The sequence below is a fragment of the Homo sapiens genome, chromosome 15 (genome assembly GCF_000001405.40).
Source record: "Homo sapiens chromosome 15, GRCh38.p14 Primary Assembly".
NCBI classification, from domain to species: domain Eukaryota; kingdom Metazoa; phylum Chordata; class Mammalia; order Primates; family Hominidae; genus Homo; species Homo sapiens.
Window position 1 is genome coordinate 40410189 of NC_000015.10, and position 14530 is coordinate 40424718.

At 51.6% G+C, this 14530-nt stretch overlaps 1 protein-coding gene across 22 annotated transcripts in view; it reads left to right on the forward strand.

Annotated features, from left to right (window-relative positions):
* Nucleotides 1-14530, forward strand: part of IVD (isovaleryl-CoA dehydrogenase) — a 30153-nt gene that overhangs the window by 4394 nt on the left and 11229 nt on the right. For 6 of the 22 annotated variants that reach the window (XM_047432460.1, XM_047432461.1, XM_017022149.2 and 3 more), the window contains exons 4-11: nt 440-609; nt 1072-1165; nt 1367-1503; nt 2803-2899; nt 4701-4794; nt 5213-5294; nt 5890-5994; nt 6102-6174. In XM_047432460.1, coding sequence (XP_047288416.1) covers nt 440-609; nt 1072-1165; nt 1367-1503; nt 2803-2899; nt 4701-4794; nt 5213-5294; nt 5890-5994; nt 6102-6174 — 852 coding nt within the window. Of the gene's footprint in view, nt 1-439; nt 610-1071; nt 1166-1366; nt 1504-2802; nt 2900-4634; nt 4795-5212; nt 5295-5889; nt 5995-6101; nt 6175-7941; nt 11121-13946; nt 14029-14530 lie in introns of those variants that run through there. The other 16 variants (XM_017022154.3, NM_001354597.3, NM_001354599.3 and 13 more) reach the window with 6 other exon arrangements.

Here is a 14530-nt window from a genome sequence, read left to right on the forward strand (position 1 = left end):
GGCCTTTTGCAGACACATCAGATCCTCTGGCTTTGTATCTGTTCTTGGTGCTTTGGACACCACCTCCACCCCAATGCCTTTGTTTTTCTCCAGGCCCTCTTTCTTCATTTATTCATCTGCCTCTGCATTTCTGTAACTTTCTGAGTAGTGGGTGCTCAGGTTGTTCACGTATCTTCATCAAGAAGTCTGTCTGGGATAAAGCAGAAGTTGCAATGATTGCCTTCTGAATCACCCCTCAGCTGAGGAGCACCAGCAGGCAAAACCAGTCCACTGAGCTTGTAAGCAGGTCTGTGGCATCAGCTTATTCTTGTTGCTAGAGAGAATTTGGAGTAGGTGCTACAAGGTGCTTCCCTTCTGCCGTCAAATGTAAGATTCTTAATGAATGTCCCGATTTAATCTGGGCTGCGTTTTCCACTCCCTTGTACCACACCACTCACAGTTCAGTATGGCGGCTCCGGCCTGGGCTACCTGGAGCATGTGCTGGTGATGGAGGAGATATCCCGAGCTTCCGGAGCAGTGGGGCTCAGTTACGGTGCCCACTCCAACCTCTGCATCAACCAGCTTGTACGCAATGGGAATGAGGCCCAGAAAGAGAAGTATCTCCCGAAGGTGAGGAAATGGAAATGTAATACACGCTAATCTCACAGTGCAACCACCAACTAAAAGATACCCTCTCCCCTTGGGGGCCAGTCAGACCTGCTTTCTGTAGCATGCTGCCATGAACCAAATGTGGTTAGGAAGGGGCCATGGATTGCTTTAAAATACTTGAGCCAAAAATAATAAAAATAGGACCAGAACTCTTGCATTGAACAACAGACAGACAACATTTGAAGAGAACTCTAAGAAATGGAAGAGTAGGACTAGCTTCCTTTGCAAAGGGAATGGAAAAAGGAGAGGCATTTTCAGCCTTGTAGCCATTGGGCTTAGAAGAGACTTCTAGGACTTTACCGACACCCTGGTCTGAGAGCGAAGTTTGAAGGGGTTTAATGTGGACAGGAAGAGGCAGTACCAGTGAGCTGCTCTAGGGTACTCTGAGGTTGTAACAAGGCCTGTTGGGGGTTTTCCTTGCAGCTGATCAGTGGTGAGTACATCGGAGCCCTGGCCATGAGTGAGCCCAATGCAGGCTCTGATGTTGTCTCTATGAAGCTCAAAGCGGAAAAGAAAGGTGAGGCCACTCTCAACTTGGGAGCCAAAATGGGCAGAGGTACAGACATTATCAGGATAATGGAGCAACAATTGTGGGTGGCCCCTGCTGGGTTTCCAGAACTTTCTCAAAGGTGGACAGCTTCTTGCTCAGCAGAAGGTCTATGGCCTGGCTGAGACAGGCCAAGATGGCTTGAGCAAATAGCCAACATCCTGCCCTTAGGAAATCACTACATCCTGAATGGCAACAAGTTCTGGATCACTAATGGCCCTGATGCTGACGTCCTGATTGTCTATGCCAAGACAGATCTGGCTGCTGTGCCAGCTTCTCGGGGCATCACAGCCTTCATTGTGGAGAAGGTGAGTATAGGTGGGTGCAGGGCCAGGAGGCTTCTGCCTCCTGACAGTGGTACCAGAGATAGCCCGTTCACTGATCTCAAATGGAATCAGTGTTGTGTGCTCTGCAAGGCCCCCAGAGGTGGGGGTGAGGCAGAGAGCAGACTGCAAGGAGGGTGACCAAAAGTCCAGGAAGTCCAGGGCAGATGGGTCACTTCTGAAGACGGTGGAGCCGTCCTCAGCGCCAGGCCACACAAAGAGGTCTAGAAAGGGGAGGACTAAAAGGAGGTCAGGACATGACGGTCAGGGTACCATTGGTGGATCTGATGAATGTGGCCATGGGAGACTGAGGTGTGGGTGGGATGCAAGTGGAGACTGCCCCTGCAACAGCCTTGACAACAGAAGCAAGAAGGAAGCAGAGCAGGAGTTCCAATGAAAAGTTAGGAGTTTGGGTTTGTTTTTAGAAATGAGAGAACTGAGCAGATTTTTTGGTCAGAAGGAAAAAAAAGGGAAGAAAAAAGAAAATAGAGGGAGAAATTGAAAAGTGTGGGAATGAGTGGGCAGAACACAATGGTGAGCTGGGGCAGAAGAGAGAAGGATGGGTTACAGGTGATGGTGCAGGAACCACTTGCCTAACGATCATGAGGAGGAAGCCAGGGGCCCTGTGAAGGCTGGGGCCACGAGTGGGGGAGTTGGCAAGAGTTTCATGAGCGAGTATTGTAAAGGTTTGCGGTACCCTCCATAGAGAGGGGGAAAGTAGCTGTCTAGGGTTGGAGCAGTAGGGACCTGGCTGAGATTGGAAATCTCAAGGTTGCGTGATGCCACCCTCATTACAGGCTGAAGGCAGCATGTGCCAGCACTTTGCTGGTCACTTGCCAAAACATGCTGCAACCCAGTAGTCCAGGTCAAAGTACAGAGGGCTCAGTTCAGCCCTAGTGGGATCCCTTTGGGTACAGACAGGAGAACAACAGAGGATAAGGGAATTGACCGGGCTGGTGACAGTGTCTTGGAAGTAATGTCCCCTGGGGGAGGGAAATAAGGCCAGGGGGGTCGGGAGGGCTCAGGGAACTGAGCATATCATTGAGAAAGAAGTGTCCCCATGAGAACTGGGGAGAACACAAGCTAGTGGCAGAGGAGGCTGGGATCAATCTGGGGCGTTAGCACCGGAAGGTCCCGGGGGGAGCATGGGACTAGGATGCTGCCATGCTGTGCAGGTACAGGGACTCAATAGGAAGGTGAGTGCCTTCTTCCCAGAGGCCTTTCCTTTACCAGGCCCCCTTGGGGCTAATCTGTAACCAGGACCACCTTTTGTTTCCTGTAAAGGGTATGCCTGGCTTTAGCACCTCTAAGAAGCTGGACAAGCTGGGGATGAGGGGCTCTAACACCTGTGAGCTAATCTTTGAAGACTGCAAGATTCCTGGTAAGTAGCACCGGGAATCGGGGAGCCCCTCTCCTGACCCCCTTCCAGGCTGATCTGGCTGTTCTCAAGTTGAGAAAGCCTCTGGGTTAGAGAGGCTTGGCATTGTTAGCGCTTCAGTGACATGTGGCTAGGCTGTGAGCTGGGGCTGCTGGACAGCGCTCCTTCCTGGCCAGGGCCCTGCAGCGGCATGCCTAACTGGCATCACACACTCCGCATAGGGTCTGTACTCAGTAGCCGGAGGAGAAGGGTCAGACCTACCCTTTCCCATTGATGTCCTTCAGTCTTCCTGTACTTTCGCCCATCCACTGCATGTGAGTAACTCATTAACTCACGTTTTTGTAAAATATTTTAAAAATGAGTTATTCATTTTTAGCATTAATGATGCTAAGAAAAAAAAACAAAACATCTGAATCCACTGATGGAATCCCGACTCAGTAGAGAGAAGGCAGTTCTGCTTGAGTATGAGTATTTTCTCCCCTGAGGTGTAACTGAAATCTGACATGGTGGAGCACTGTGGGAGAGCCAGCACAGCCATCATGTACTAACCAGACCAGGGGCATGGATTTGTTGTTTGGGGTTTTTTTTTGTTTTTTTTGTTTGTTTGTTTGTTTGTTTGTTTTGAGAAGGAGTCTTGGCTCTGTCACCCAGGCTAGAGTGCAGTGGCGTGATCTCAGCTCACGGCAGCCTCCACCTCCTGGGTTCCAGTGATTCTCCTGCCTCAGCCTCCCGAGTAGCTGGGATTACAGGCATGCGCCACCCTGCCCAGCTAAATTTTTTGTTTGTTTTTTTGAGATGGAGTGTCGCTCTTGTTGCCCAGGGCTGGAGTGCAATGGCGCGATCTTGGCTTACTGCAACCTCCGCCCCCTGGGTTCAAGTGATTCTCCTGTCTCAGCCTTCTGAGTAGCTGGGATGACAGGCACACACCGCCCAGCTAATTTTGTATTTTTAGTAGAGACAGATGGGGTTTCACCATGTTGGCCAGGCTGCTCTCGAACTCCTGACCTCAGGTGATCCACCTGTCTCAGCCTCCCAAAGTGCCAGGATTATAGGCCTGAGCCACCTTGCCTGGCCAGGGGCATGGATTTGATCAACAGTTAGGTTTGCTGTCTGCCTCAGCCATATACCACGCCTATCACTGACAGCCCAAAAAAGTGTACTTTAATTACAGGGAGCATCCAGGGAGGGGGAGCTGTGCAGCTCCTTCTTTGTTGACAGGAAAAAATTCAGCTAGCATTAAAGGCAGGTCAGTAGTGTCAACCTGTTTTCCTGCCCACACCTCCCAAGGCCATCCAGTCTCCTGGCTTTACTGGGTGGAGAGGTGCTCAGCAGCTTCTGTCACTAGCTCTGAATGGCCTGTCTCCTGGACAAAGAAGCTTTCACGGACTACTCTGCAGGGAGGTGACATTGGACCAGAGCTGACTCCACCTGGGGGAAAGAGTAATTCTCTGGTTTCTTTATAGGTGCCTGTGTAGAAAGAGTCAGGGAGGGATTGGGTGACTTCTAGACCAATTAACTTTTCTTCTTTCCCATCCAAGGGAGTCCAGAGAGGGAAGGGAAAGATCTAACAACTCTAGCCTTTGTGGTTGGCCTCGTGGATGGGGTGGGAGTCCTGGCAGCTCCACTTCTGACTGGAAGGGGTTCACTTGATCCTTTTCTTTCACCTGGAACCTTAGTTGAATAAAGGTCAAGTGACATATTTTAGTGCCTTACTTGAGAGCCATGTTTCCAAATCTAGTACCTTTGATAAAAGTGAGGAGGCTGTGGACAGCTCTCTCCCTCTGACCAGCACTTATCCTGGCAGCTGCCAACATCCTGGGCCATGAGAATAAGGGTGTCTACGTGCTGATGAGTGGGCTGGACCTGGAGCGGCTGGTGCTGGCCGGGGGGCCTCTTGGGTAAGTGTGAGAGGCTTGAGGGAAGCTGGGCTCTGTCGGCCTCCTCGGCAGGTGACCCACCATGAGCAGCAGCAGCCTTCCCCTTGCGGGGCCAAAGGGAGCTGCCTCTTGGCCCTGCTCTCTCCTGGGAGATGAAAGGAACCTCCTCTTCCCATGTTGAATTTCTTCCCACAGTGGGGAAATATCATTAAGTAACAGACAAAAGGCCTGAGGAGCAGGGTGGCTTACTCGGCTGTGAAACGACACCTGGGCTGTCACGCCCCTGCACCTCTGGCCAGTCAGTGCCGTAACTGTGGCAAGACTTTCTGAAGTTGCTTTTCTCCTCCCTGGGATTCTGGCCTTCCCACGCTAGCATTTTGCCACCACACCCGGTGGTGGGATGAGGAGGTGCCCACGGGGCCTTTCTCCTTTCTGACAGGCTCATGCAAGCGGTCCTGGACCACACCATTCCCTACCTGCACGTGAGGGAAGCCTTTGGCCAGAAGATCGGCCACTTCCAGGTGAGCCGAGTGCTTTTGCTGACATGTACTCTTCAACTGGGCTAAAGTTTTCTTTGAAAAGAGAGGAAGTGAGGTGGGCACCGTGGATGGTTACTGTCTCCTCTAGCAAATTGAGCTTGACTGCTTGGAATGCAGTCTTCCTCAGCATGCAGCCTGACTCTGGAAGTCATCAGGAAGTTCACCACATTGCCACCTCGATTCCTGTGTGAGGTGGATGAACTAGACATTGTAAGGTTGGAGAGCAAAGCGTGCAAGTTGTGGGGGCAGAAGGGAAAGAGGTTGCTATTTGTAGTTAGACCTTCTGGTCCGAAGAAGCTGCTGGAAGGTAATAAGCATTGGAGTAAATGGTGCCTTGGGAGCCATGCCTTTCGGAGGCAGTGATGGCCACTTCGGGGTGTCATGCGGGCTGTGGAACAGCCACTCTGTGGCCCTAACTCCCACACCTGCCCCCATCTCCATCATCCTGAGTAAATCCCATCTCCTCTCCATGCCCCTGCTTCCTCATCCTTGGCTGTCTTGTTGCCATTGCTGACCTGCTTTTGGTAACTGAGAGAGTGTTCCAGCATGTTGACCTGTGACATCCCTTTGTGCCCAGTTGATGCAGGGGAAGATGGCTGACATGTACACCCGCCTCATGGCGTGTCGGCAGTATGTCTACAATGTCGCCAAGGCCTGCGATGAGGGCCATTGCACTGCTAAGGTGAGGGCCAGCCTCAGTCGGGGAGAGGCGGGGGCAGTGGACCAGCTGCTGAGACTTGCTGTCTGCGTGCCTCGCAGGGCCCTGCTGACCCCAGCTTCCTCCCGTAGGACTGTGCAGGTGTGATTCTTTACTCAGCTGAGTGTGCCACACAGGTAGCCCTGGACGGCATTCAGTGTTTTGGTGAGTGATCCCCACTTCCCAGTCCCGGGGCTCCCTCACTCCTGGGGCCTGTGGCTGCTTCAGAAAGCAGTTTCAGGGCGGGCGTGGTGGCTCACACCTATAATCCCAGCACTTTGGGAGGCCGAGGTAGGCAGATCACCTGAGGTCAGGAGTTCAAGACCAGCCTGGCCAACATGGTGAAACCGCATGCCGGGCATGATGGTGCATGCCTGTAATCCCAGCTACTTGGGAGGCTGAGGCAGGAGAATCGCTTGAACCCGGGAGGCAGAGGTTGCAGTGAACAAAGATTGCACCATTGCACTCCAGCCTAGGTGACAGAGCGAGAGGCTGTCTCAAAAAAAAGCAATTTCCTCTCCACTTCTCCACTCCTCACTATGTGCTTATGCTAGGCCCAGCTGAGCTGGGACCTTCGGGCTCTTTCTGTCCCAGTTACAAGGAGGAAATGGAAAGCAAATGAGAAAACTGCTAGATGCCAGGAGTTGCTGCTGCCTTCGGCAACACCCCCCTCTCATCCTCCCCGCCTCATAGATGCTAGGAAATGGGAAAGGGAGATGTGGCTGGGCACAGTGGCTCACACCTGTAATTCCAACACTTTAGGAGACTGAGGCCAGTGAATCACCTGAGATCAGGAGTTTGAGACCAGCCTGGCCAACATGGTGAAACCCTGTTTCTACTAAAAATACAAAAAAAAATTAGCCAAGTGTGGTGGCAGGAGCCTGTAATCCCAGCTATTTGGAAGGCTGAGGCTGGAGAATCTCTTGAACCCAGGAGGCGGAGGTTGCAGTGACCGGAGATCGCGCCATTGCACTCCAGCCTGAGTGACAAGAGTGAAACTCCGTCTCGGAAAAAAAAAAAAAAAAAAAGGCCGGGCACGGTGGCTCACACCTGTAATCCCAGCACTTTGGGAGGCCGAGGCAGGTGGATCACCTGAGGTCAGGAGTTCGAGACCAGCCTGACCAACGTGGTGAAACCCCATCTCTACTAAAAATACAAAAATTAGCTGGGTGCAGTGGTGCGCGCCTGTAATCCCAGCTACTCAGGAGGCTGAGGCAGGAGAATCACTTGAACCTTGGATGCGGAGGTTGCAGAGAGCCAATATCATGCCACTGCACTCCAGCCTAGGCCACAGAGCATGACTCCAAAAAAAAAAAAAAAAAAGCTAAATGGAAATTTCTAGAAATAGTTCATAAGTTTCAAATCCACACCATCCTGAATAGCTTGAAGTGTTGTGCCATGCTGCTCTGTCATGTTTGGTACGTGAATCGTCCCTTTGTGCAGCCTATCTATGCTATGTGGGCTACCTGCCCGTTAGTAGTCACCTAGGGTATCCAATCAGCTGTCCTGATATCAGAGTGCCTGTGTTCAAGTAACTCTTATTTTGCTCAGTGGCCCCAGATTGCAAGAGTAGTGATGCTGGCATGTCATAATAGTTCTATTTTAGTATTTGTTATTATTGTTGATCTGTTACTATGCCTAGCTCATAAATTAAACTTTCTCATAAGTATGTATGTATAGGGAAAAAAACAACATATATATGGGGTTCGGTACTATCTACGGTTTCAGGCATCCACTGGGGTCTTGGAATGTATCCTCCAAGGATAAGGAAGGACTAGTGTATTCCCCACACCCCTCCCTCTTGCTACCTTTTGCTGCTTTTCTTTAATCACCCTCTCCTCCTGTGGCCTGTTTCTATATACTTGGCATTCTGTTTGCTTTCTTTGTTTTGTCAATCACTTCCTTTCTTCTCTGCCCAAACCCTGGTTGCAGGTGGCAATGGCTACATCAATGACTTTCCCATGGGCCGCTTTCTTCGAGATGCCAAGCTGTATGAGATAGGGGCTGGGACCAGCGAGGTGAGGCGGCTGGTCATCGGCAGAGCCTTCAATGCAGACTTTCACTAGTCCTGAGACCCTTCGCCCCCTTTTCCTGCACCTAGTGGCCTTTCTTGGGAAGTAGAGATGTGGCGGCTTTCCCACCCTGCCCACAGCAGGCCCTCCTGCCCAGCTGCTCTTGTCAGCCCTCTGGCCTCTGGATGAGGTTGAGTTCTCCACAACAGCTCCCAAGCATCATGGGCCTCGCAGCCGGGCCTGTGCCACGGCTAGTGTTGTGTGATTTAAAATGGACTCAGCAGGAAGCATATTGTCTGGGGATTGTTGGGACAGGTTTTGGTGACTCTGTGCCCTTGCTCTCTAACTTCTGAGCCCACCTCCCAGGGTAGGCACCTGGGGGCATGCAGGTGCCCACCTCCCAGGGTAGGCACCTGGGGGCATGCAGGTACCCACCTCTTTCTCTTGGGTGAGGCTCTGGCAAGGAGATCTCTCTGCTCAAGCACAGCAGAATCATGGCCCCTCTCCATGAATTGGAACTTGGTACAGGTTAAGTATCCCTAATCCTGAAATCTGAAACACTTGTGGTTCCAAGCATTTTGGATAAGGCAAATTCAACTTTCAGTCTCTTTTCTGGGGGAAAAAAATAATAAACCTAGCCTAGCCAGGCGTGGTGGCTCATGCTTGTAATCCCAGCACTTCAGGAGGCTGAGATGGGTGGATCACCTGAGGTCAGGAGTTCAAGACCAGCCTGGCCAACATGTGGAAACCTCGCCTCAACTAAAAATAGAAAAAAATTAGTTGGGCATGGTGGTGGGCACCTGTAATCCCAGCTACTTCAGGAGGCTGAGGCAGGAGAATTACTTGAACCCAGGAGGCGGACGTTGCAGTGAGCCGAGCTTGTGCCATTGCACTCCAGCCTGGGCGACAAGAGCAAAACTCTTCAAAAAACAAAACAAAACAAAAAAACCCTGGCCCTTGTTTCTTCCAGTTTCTAGAGGTATCAGCTCCTAGCAGCTTATGAACACATATGCTTGCTTGGCCAGGCAAGGTGGTGTGTGCCTGTAATCCCAGCACTTTGGGAGGCCAAGGCAGGTGGATCACTTGCAGTCAGGAGTTCAAGACCAGCCTGTCCAACGTGGTGAAACCCCATCTCTACTAAAAATACAAAAATTAGCCAGGGGTGGTGGTGCACGTCTGTAATCCCAGCTACTCAGGAGGCTGAGGCAGGAGAATCACTTGAACCCGGGAGGTGGAGGTTGCAATGAGCCAATATGACACCGCTGCAGTCCAGCCTGGGCCATAGAGTGAGACTCTGTCTCAAAAAAGGAAAGAAAAATAGGCTGGGCACAGTGACTCATGCCTGTAATCCCAACACTTTGGGAGGCCGAGGCAGGTGGATCACGAGGTCAGGAGTTCAAGACCAGCCTGGCCAAGATGGTAAAACCTCGTCTCTACTAAAAATACAAAAATTAGCCAGGTGTGGTGGCAGGCTCCTGTAATCCCAGCTACTCAGGAGGCTGAGGCAGAGAATTGCTTGAACCCGGGAGGCAGAGTTTGCAGTGAGCCAAGATCACACCACTGCACTCCAGCTTGGACGACAGAGCGAGACTCTGTCTCAAAAAATAATAGGCCAGGCATGGTGGCTCAACGTCTGTAATCCCAGCACTTTGGGAGGCCGAGGCGGGCAGATCACAAGGTCAGGAGTTCGAGACCAGCCTGACGACCAACATGGTGAAACCTCGTCTCTACTAAAAATACAAAAATTAGCCAGGCCTGGTGGCACGCGCCTGTAATCCCAGTTACACAGAAGACTGAGGCAGGAGAATCGCTTGAACGCAGGAGGCAGAGGTTGCAGGAGCTGAGATCGCGCCATTGCACTCCAGCCTGGGCAACAGAGTGAGACTCTGTCTCAAAAAATAATAATAAAATAAATGAACACACATGCTGCTGAGTCCGCAGGGGGGGCAGAGCAGAGGACAGCGTGCTTTTGTGTACTGTTGGAAGACTGGCTCCTCCTGTACAGCACCTCTGAGCCCTTGTGCACCGCCCTGCCACGGGCACCATCCAGTCCTGGCCGTGTGACCACCCACAGCTGACTGGGCAGCAGGCACAGGCCCTACCCGAGCAGGCCGGAGTTGGCTCGCATGACTCCAGCTGAGGCTGCCTGTGTACATTTCTCCAGATACCCTATGGCTAATTTTGTTATAACTGCACAGTGGCTGCTGCCATTTTGTATTAAATATATTGTGAAACAAACCTATCTGGGGAGAAGCAATCTACTTGCCGCTGCTTCCTGTCTGGATCCAGCTTGTGTCCTTGGAGAGTGGCTGGCCCAGGTCCTATTCCTGTCCTCCAGCCCGTTCTTTCATGAGGGACAGGAAGGTAAAATCAGCCCTTAGGAGAGAGGTCTCAGCCTCCCTTTCCCAGATCTCCCAGTGAGTTTTAAAGGAAGCAGGGAGCCCAGAGTGCTAAGTTCTTACAGCCAGAAGGAAGCTTATAGATTTCTGAAAACCGCCCCTTTGTTTTTAAAAAGATCAACACAATTTGACTTTCTCAAGGTCAAAACGAACTAGAATCCAGATCTGCTCATGGCAAAAATGGGGGTGTTCTGAGAATTCCAGCTTTGGGCCGCACTGTACAGCAGTCTGGATAGAGTGTGATCTGAGAAGGGAATGGGTCTGGGTTGTTCCACCCCTTCCGAGTTCCAAAAAGAGGGAACTGGTTTTCTTGGTTCTCAGCCCAGCAGCACCTATCCTGGCTCTTGGTCCTGGCCTGCAGCCAAGTGCTGTTCCTAGCCTGAGGCTTGAGACAGGTGGGGTTGGCTCCTCACCAACCCCAGTTCCGTCCCATCCTGAGGGCAAGATCCTGGGCTCATAGGCAGTCCCTTTCACTTCCTTGTCTTGCTCCCTGCTATGTTGGAGATGAATGTGACTAAAAGGGCCATCTTGCTGGCTTAATGTGTGGCTGGAGAGACCAGCCTGGAGACAATGTGGCAAAATGGGGCGCTTCATCCAGTCTGTCTAAGCCCTGTCGACTTGGGGAGGTGATTTCTTTCCTGGTTCTATATGTGAAGCAAAATAAATGTTTTAAAATTAAAAGCAAAAAAAACAAAATGAACCATGCAGCCTGAGTGGTAAATGGAAGAACAAGGGGCACGTCTACTTTGGTTCTTGTGGGCGTGTTTGGTTGCCTACATGCATTGGGCAAATCTGCAGCACCAGCTGCCAGCACTGCTCCTTCCTGCGGCTGGCTCTTACTCCACTCCAATTTTAGGCAGGTCACACTATCAGGGCAGCTCGCTGCTGTTGATGCTGCCTGCCCTGTGGGAGGGCAACAGAACCTTGGGATGTTTTTTAAGCGTGGTCTGAGCACACCCCTTATCAAAATTTGGCAACCTAGAATAAATGCAGGTTCCTGGATCCTGCCCCAGACCTAATCACATCCCCAAGGGTGAGTCTGCAAGGCAATCTTCTACAACCACCATCTGAGTCCTAAAGCAGGCTTCCCCAGGAGCCTAAGTCCTAATTCTAAATCCATATAATCTAGTGATAACAATCCCTTGCCCATGTAACCCTCTCAAGTCTGAGATCCTTGATCTTTGCACAACCGAGTGCAGGAGGCAAGGTTTCGCGCAGGGCCCCCTTTCAGAAGACCGGTAAGGTGAGTTGCCCTCGGTGGAATGGGACTAGACCTGGTGTCAACACACCGCGCGGTCTGGAGAGAGGTTCCCAGTCCCTGCCTGCCGGGTGGGAGCTGGGACCTAAGACCCAGGTGGCCATCTGTCGCGACCCCCAGCCTAGGGCAGGTCCAGAGTCCTTCCTCTGACCCTCTCCCTCGAGGCAGCGCGCTTCTTCGAGCGCAGCACTGGCTTGCCAGACGCAGCTCGAGTGTCGCATGGAGCTCGCCTGACCCCTGCCGGCTGCCCGCGGGGTTGGGTTGCAAACGCGCGGAGCCAGCCTATATGGCCTTTGCCTGGGGTTCAAGGCCCCCAGTTTGGGATTTCAGGACTCAACGACGTTTTGTTTTAGCCAATAAGGACATGAAAGGGAAGAGGGGTTGGGGGAAGCCTATCCTCTATTACCATCATTTCATAAAAGGCTTTTTTTTTTTGAGACGGAGTCTCGCTCTGTCGCCCAAGCTGGAGTGCAGTGGCGCAATCTTGGCTCACTGCAAGCTCCGCCTCCCAGGTTCACGCCATTCTCCTGCCTCAGCCTCCCGAGTAGCTGGGACTACAAGCGCCCGCCACCATGCCCGGCTAATTTTTTGTATTTTTAGTAGAGACGGGGTTTCGCCGTGTTAGCCAGGATGGTCTCGATCTCCCGACCTCATGATCTACCCACCTCGGCCTCCCAAAGTGCTGGGATTACAGGCGTGAGCCACCGCGCCCGGCCGACTTTTTTTTTTTTTTTTTTTTTTTTTTTTTTTTAAGACGGAGTCTCACTTTGTCATCTAGGCTGGAGTGCAGTGGCGCGATCCCAGCTCACTGCAACCTCCACATCTAGGGTTCAAGCGATTCTCGTGCCTTAGCCTCCCAAATAGCTGGGATTACAGGCATGTGCCACCATGCCTGGCTAATTTTTGTATTTTTAGTAGAGACGGGGTTTCACCATGTTGGCCAGGCTGGTCTCAAAGCCCTGGCCTCAATTGATCCACCGGCCTCAGCCTCCCAAAGTGCTGGGATTACAGGCATGAGCCACCACGCCCAGCTAGGCCAGGATTTTTATTTGTTTGTTTATTTATTTATTTTTGAGACAGGATCTCACTCTGTCACCCAGTGCAGTGGCGTGATCTCAGCTTACTGCAGCCTCGACCTCCCTGGCTCAAGGATCCTCTGGCCTCAGTCCTCCCCCTTGCCACCCACCCCCAGCCCCCCAGTAGCTGGAACTAGAGGTGTGCACCACCATGCCAGACTAATTTTTGTATTTTTTGTAGAGCCGGGCTTTCACCATGTTGTCCAGGCTGGGCTCAACTGCTGGGCTCAAGCGATCCTCCTGCCTCCACTTTCCAAAGTGTTGGGATTATAGGCGTTGAGCCAGTGTGCCCAGCCCTTAAATTTTTGTATATGCTTTATGTTCACTGTTTTAAAAAATACTACAGTTTTTAAAAGCTTATTTAAAAAAATAAAAGTCCCCTGTCCCTCCTATCCCCATTCCCACTCCCAGGACAAAACCACTTTTGAATCTTTAAGGGGCTTCTTTTGATAATTCACTTCATACCTCTAAGTGACATGCTTACTTATTGATTTAATTGTAAGCACTTTTAAGGATAGTTTTTGTTTTTGTTTTTAAGACGGAATCTTGCGCTCTCTCGCCCATGCTGGAGTACAGTGGCATAATCTCAGCTGACTGCAACCTCCGCCTCCTGGGTTCTAGCGATTCTTCTGCCTCAGCCTCCCGAGTAGCTGGGACTACAGGTGCACACCACCATGCCCGGCTAATTTTTGTATTTTTAGTAGAGACAGGGTTTCACCATATTGGCCAGGCTGGTCTCAAACTCTTGACCTCATGATCTGCCCACCTCGGCCCCCCAAAGTGCTGGGATTCCAGGCATGAGCCACCATGCCCGGCCCAAGGATAGTTCTTTAAAGTGCATACATTTGATTTATGAGAAGTTATGCCCATACTTTTTTCACTTCCTCGGGCCAGCCCTGTCCACGGGCCAGTGTTTGGGAGCCCTGAAATCAGGTGGTGCAGAGCCCCATTCACATTCCTGGCTGTCCCCAACCCCTGCCCACACTTGGTACCCAGAGCCTACAGCCACGCTAGTGCCGAGTGGGAGCTCTCCTCTCCCTGTGTGCGCCACTTGGTTACTCTTGCAGGGGGCCGTTCCAGAATTTGGCCTCTTTCCCTCACCCACCACCCAGCCACTCTCAGAGGCTAGCCTGGTATCTCTTAAATACTTCCTGGATCTTAACATCCTGCCAACTTGCCTTCCTTCTTCCAGGCCATGCCCCTCAACCCTTCCTCTACACTGAACCAGTGAACTATCAAGCTCCCCGCAAATTCTTCAGTGGCTCCCAGCACCTGTAAGATCTAAGGCTTGGCAAGGCAAATATGACTCTGATCCCCCTGGGCCTTCCCCTTCTGCTGCTTCCCTCCTTCCCTGCTGAATGTTCGTGTTCTTGTTGCAAGGAGTCCTCACTGCCATGTTTCTCATCCCTGTGCCTTTGGTCTGGGGCAGCTCTGGAAGTCCTTCCAGCCCTTCAAACTTTCTCTTGCTTCCTCATCTCTAAAGCCTCAGGCCAGGGCCTGCCTCCTTCAGGAAGACCTCTCTTCTCCAACCTTCCCTCATTCCTCTGTCTCCATCTCATCCATCCTGGATGGGTCCCCTTTCTCCTTCTCCCTGGGCATATCTGCACTGATGGGCTTGCCACACAGTTGTTTATTCCAGTTTCCCCAGCATTAGGCAGGCTGTGAATCTGAGAGCTAGGACTGTGATTTGACTGTCTTTACATGATCACCATCCAGCACAGTTCCTGGCATGTAATAGGTGCACAACAAATATTTATTGAAAGAGTAGATGAGTAG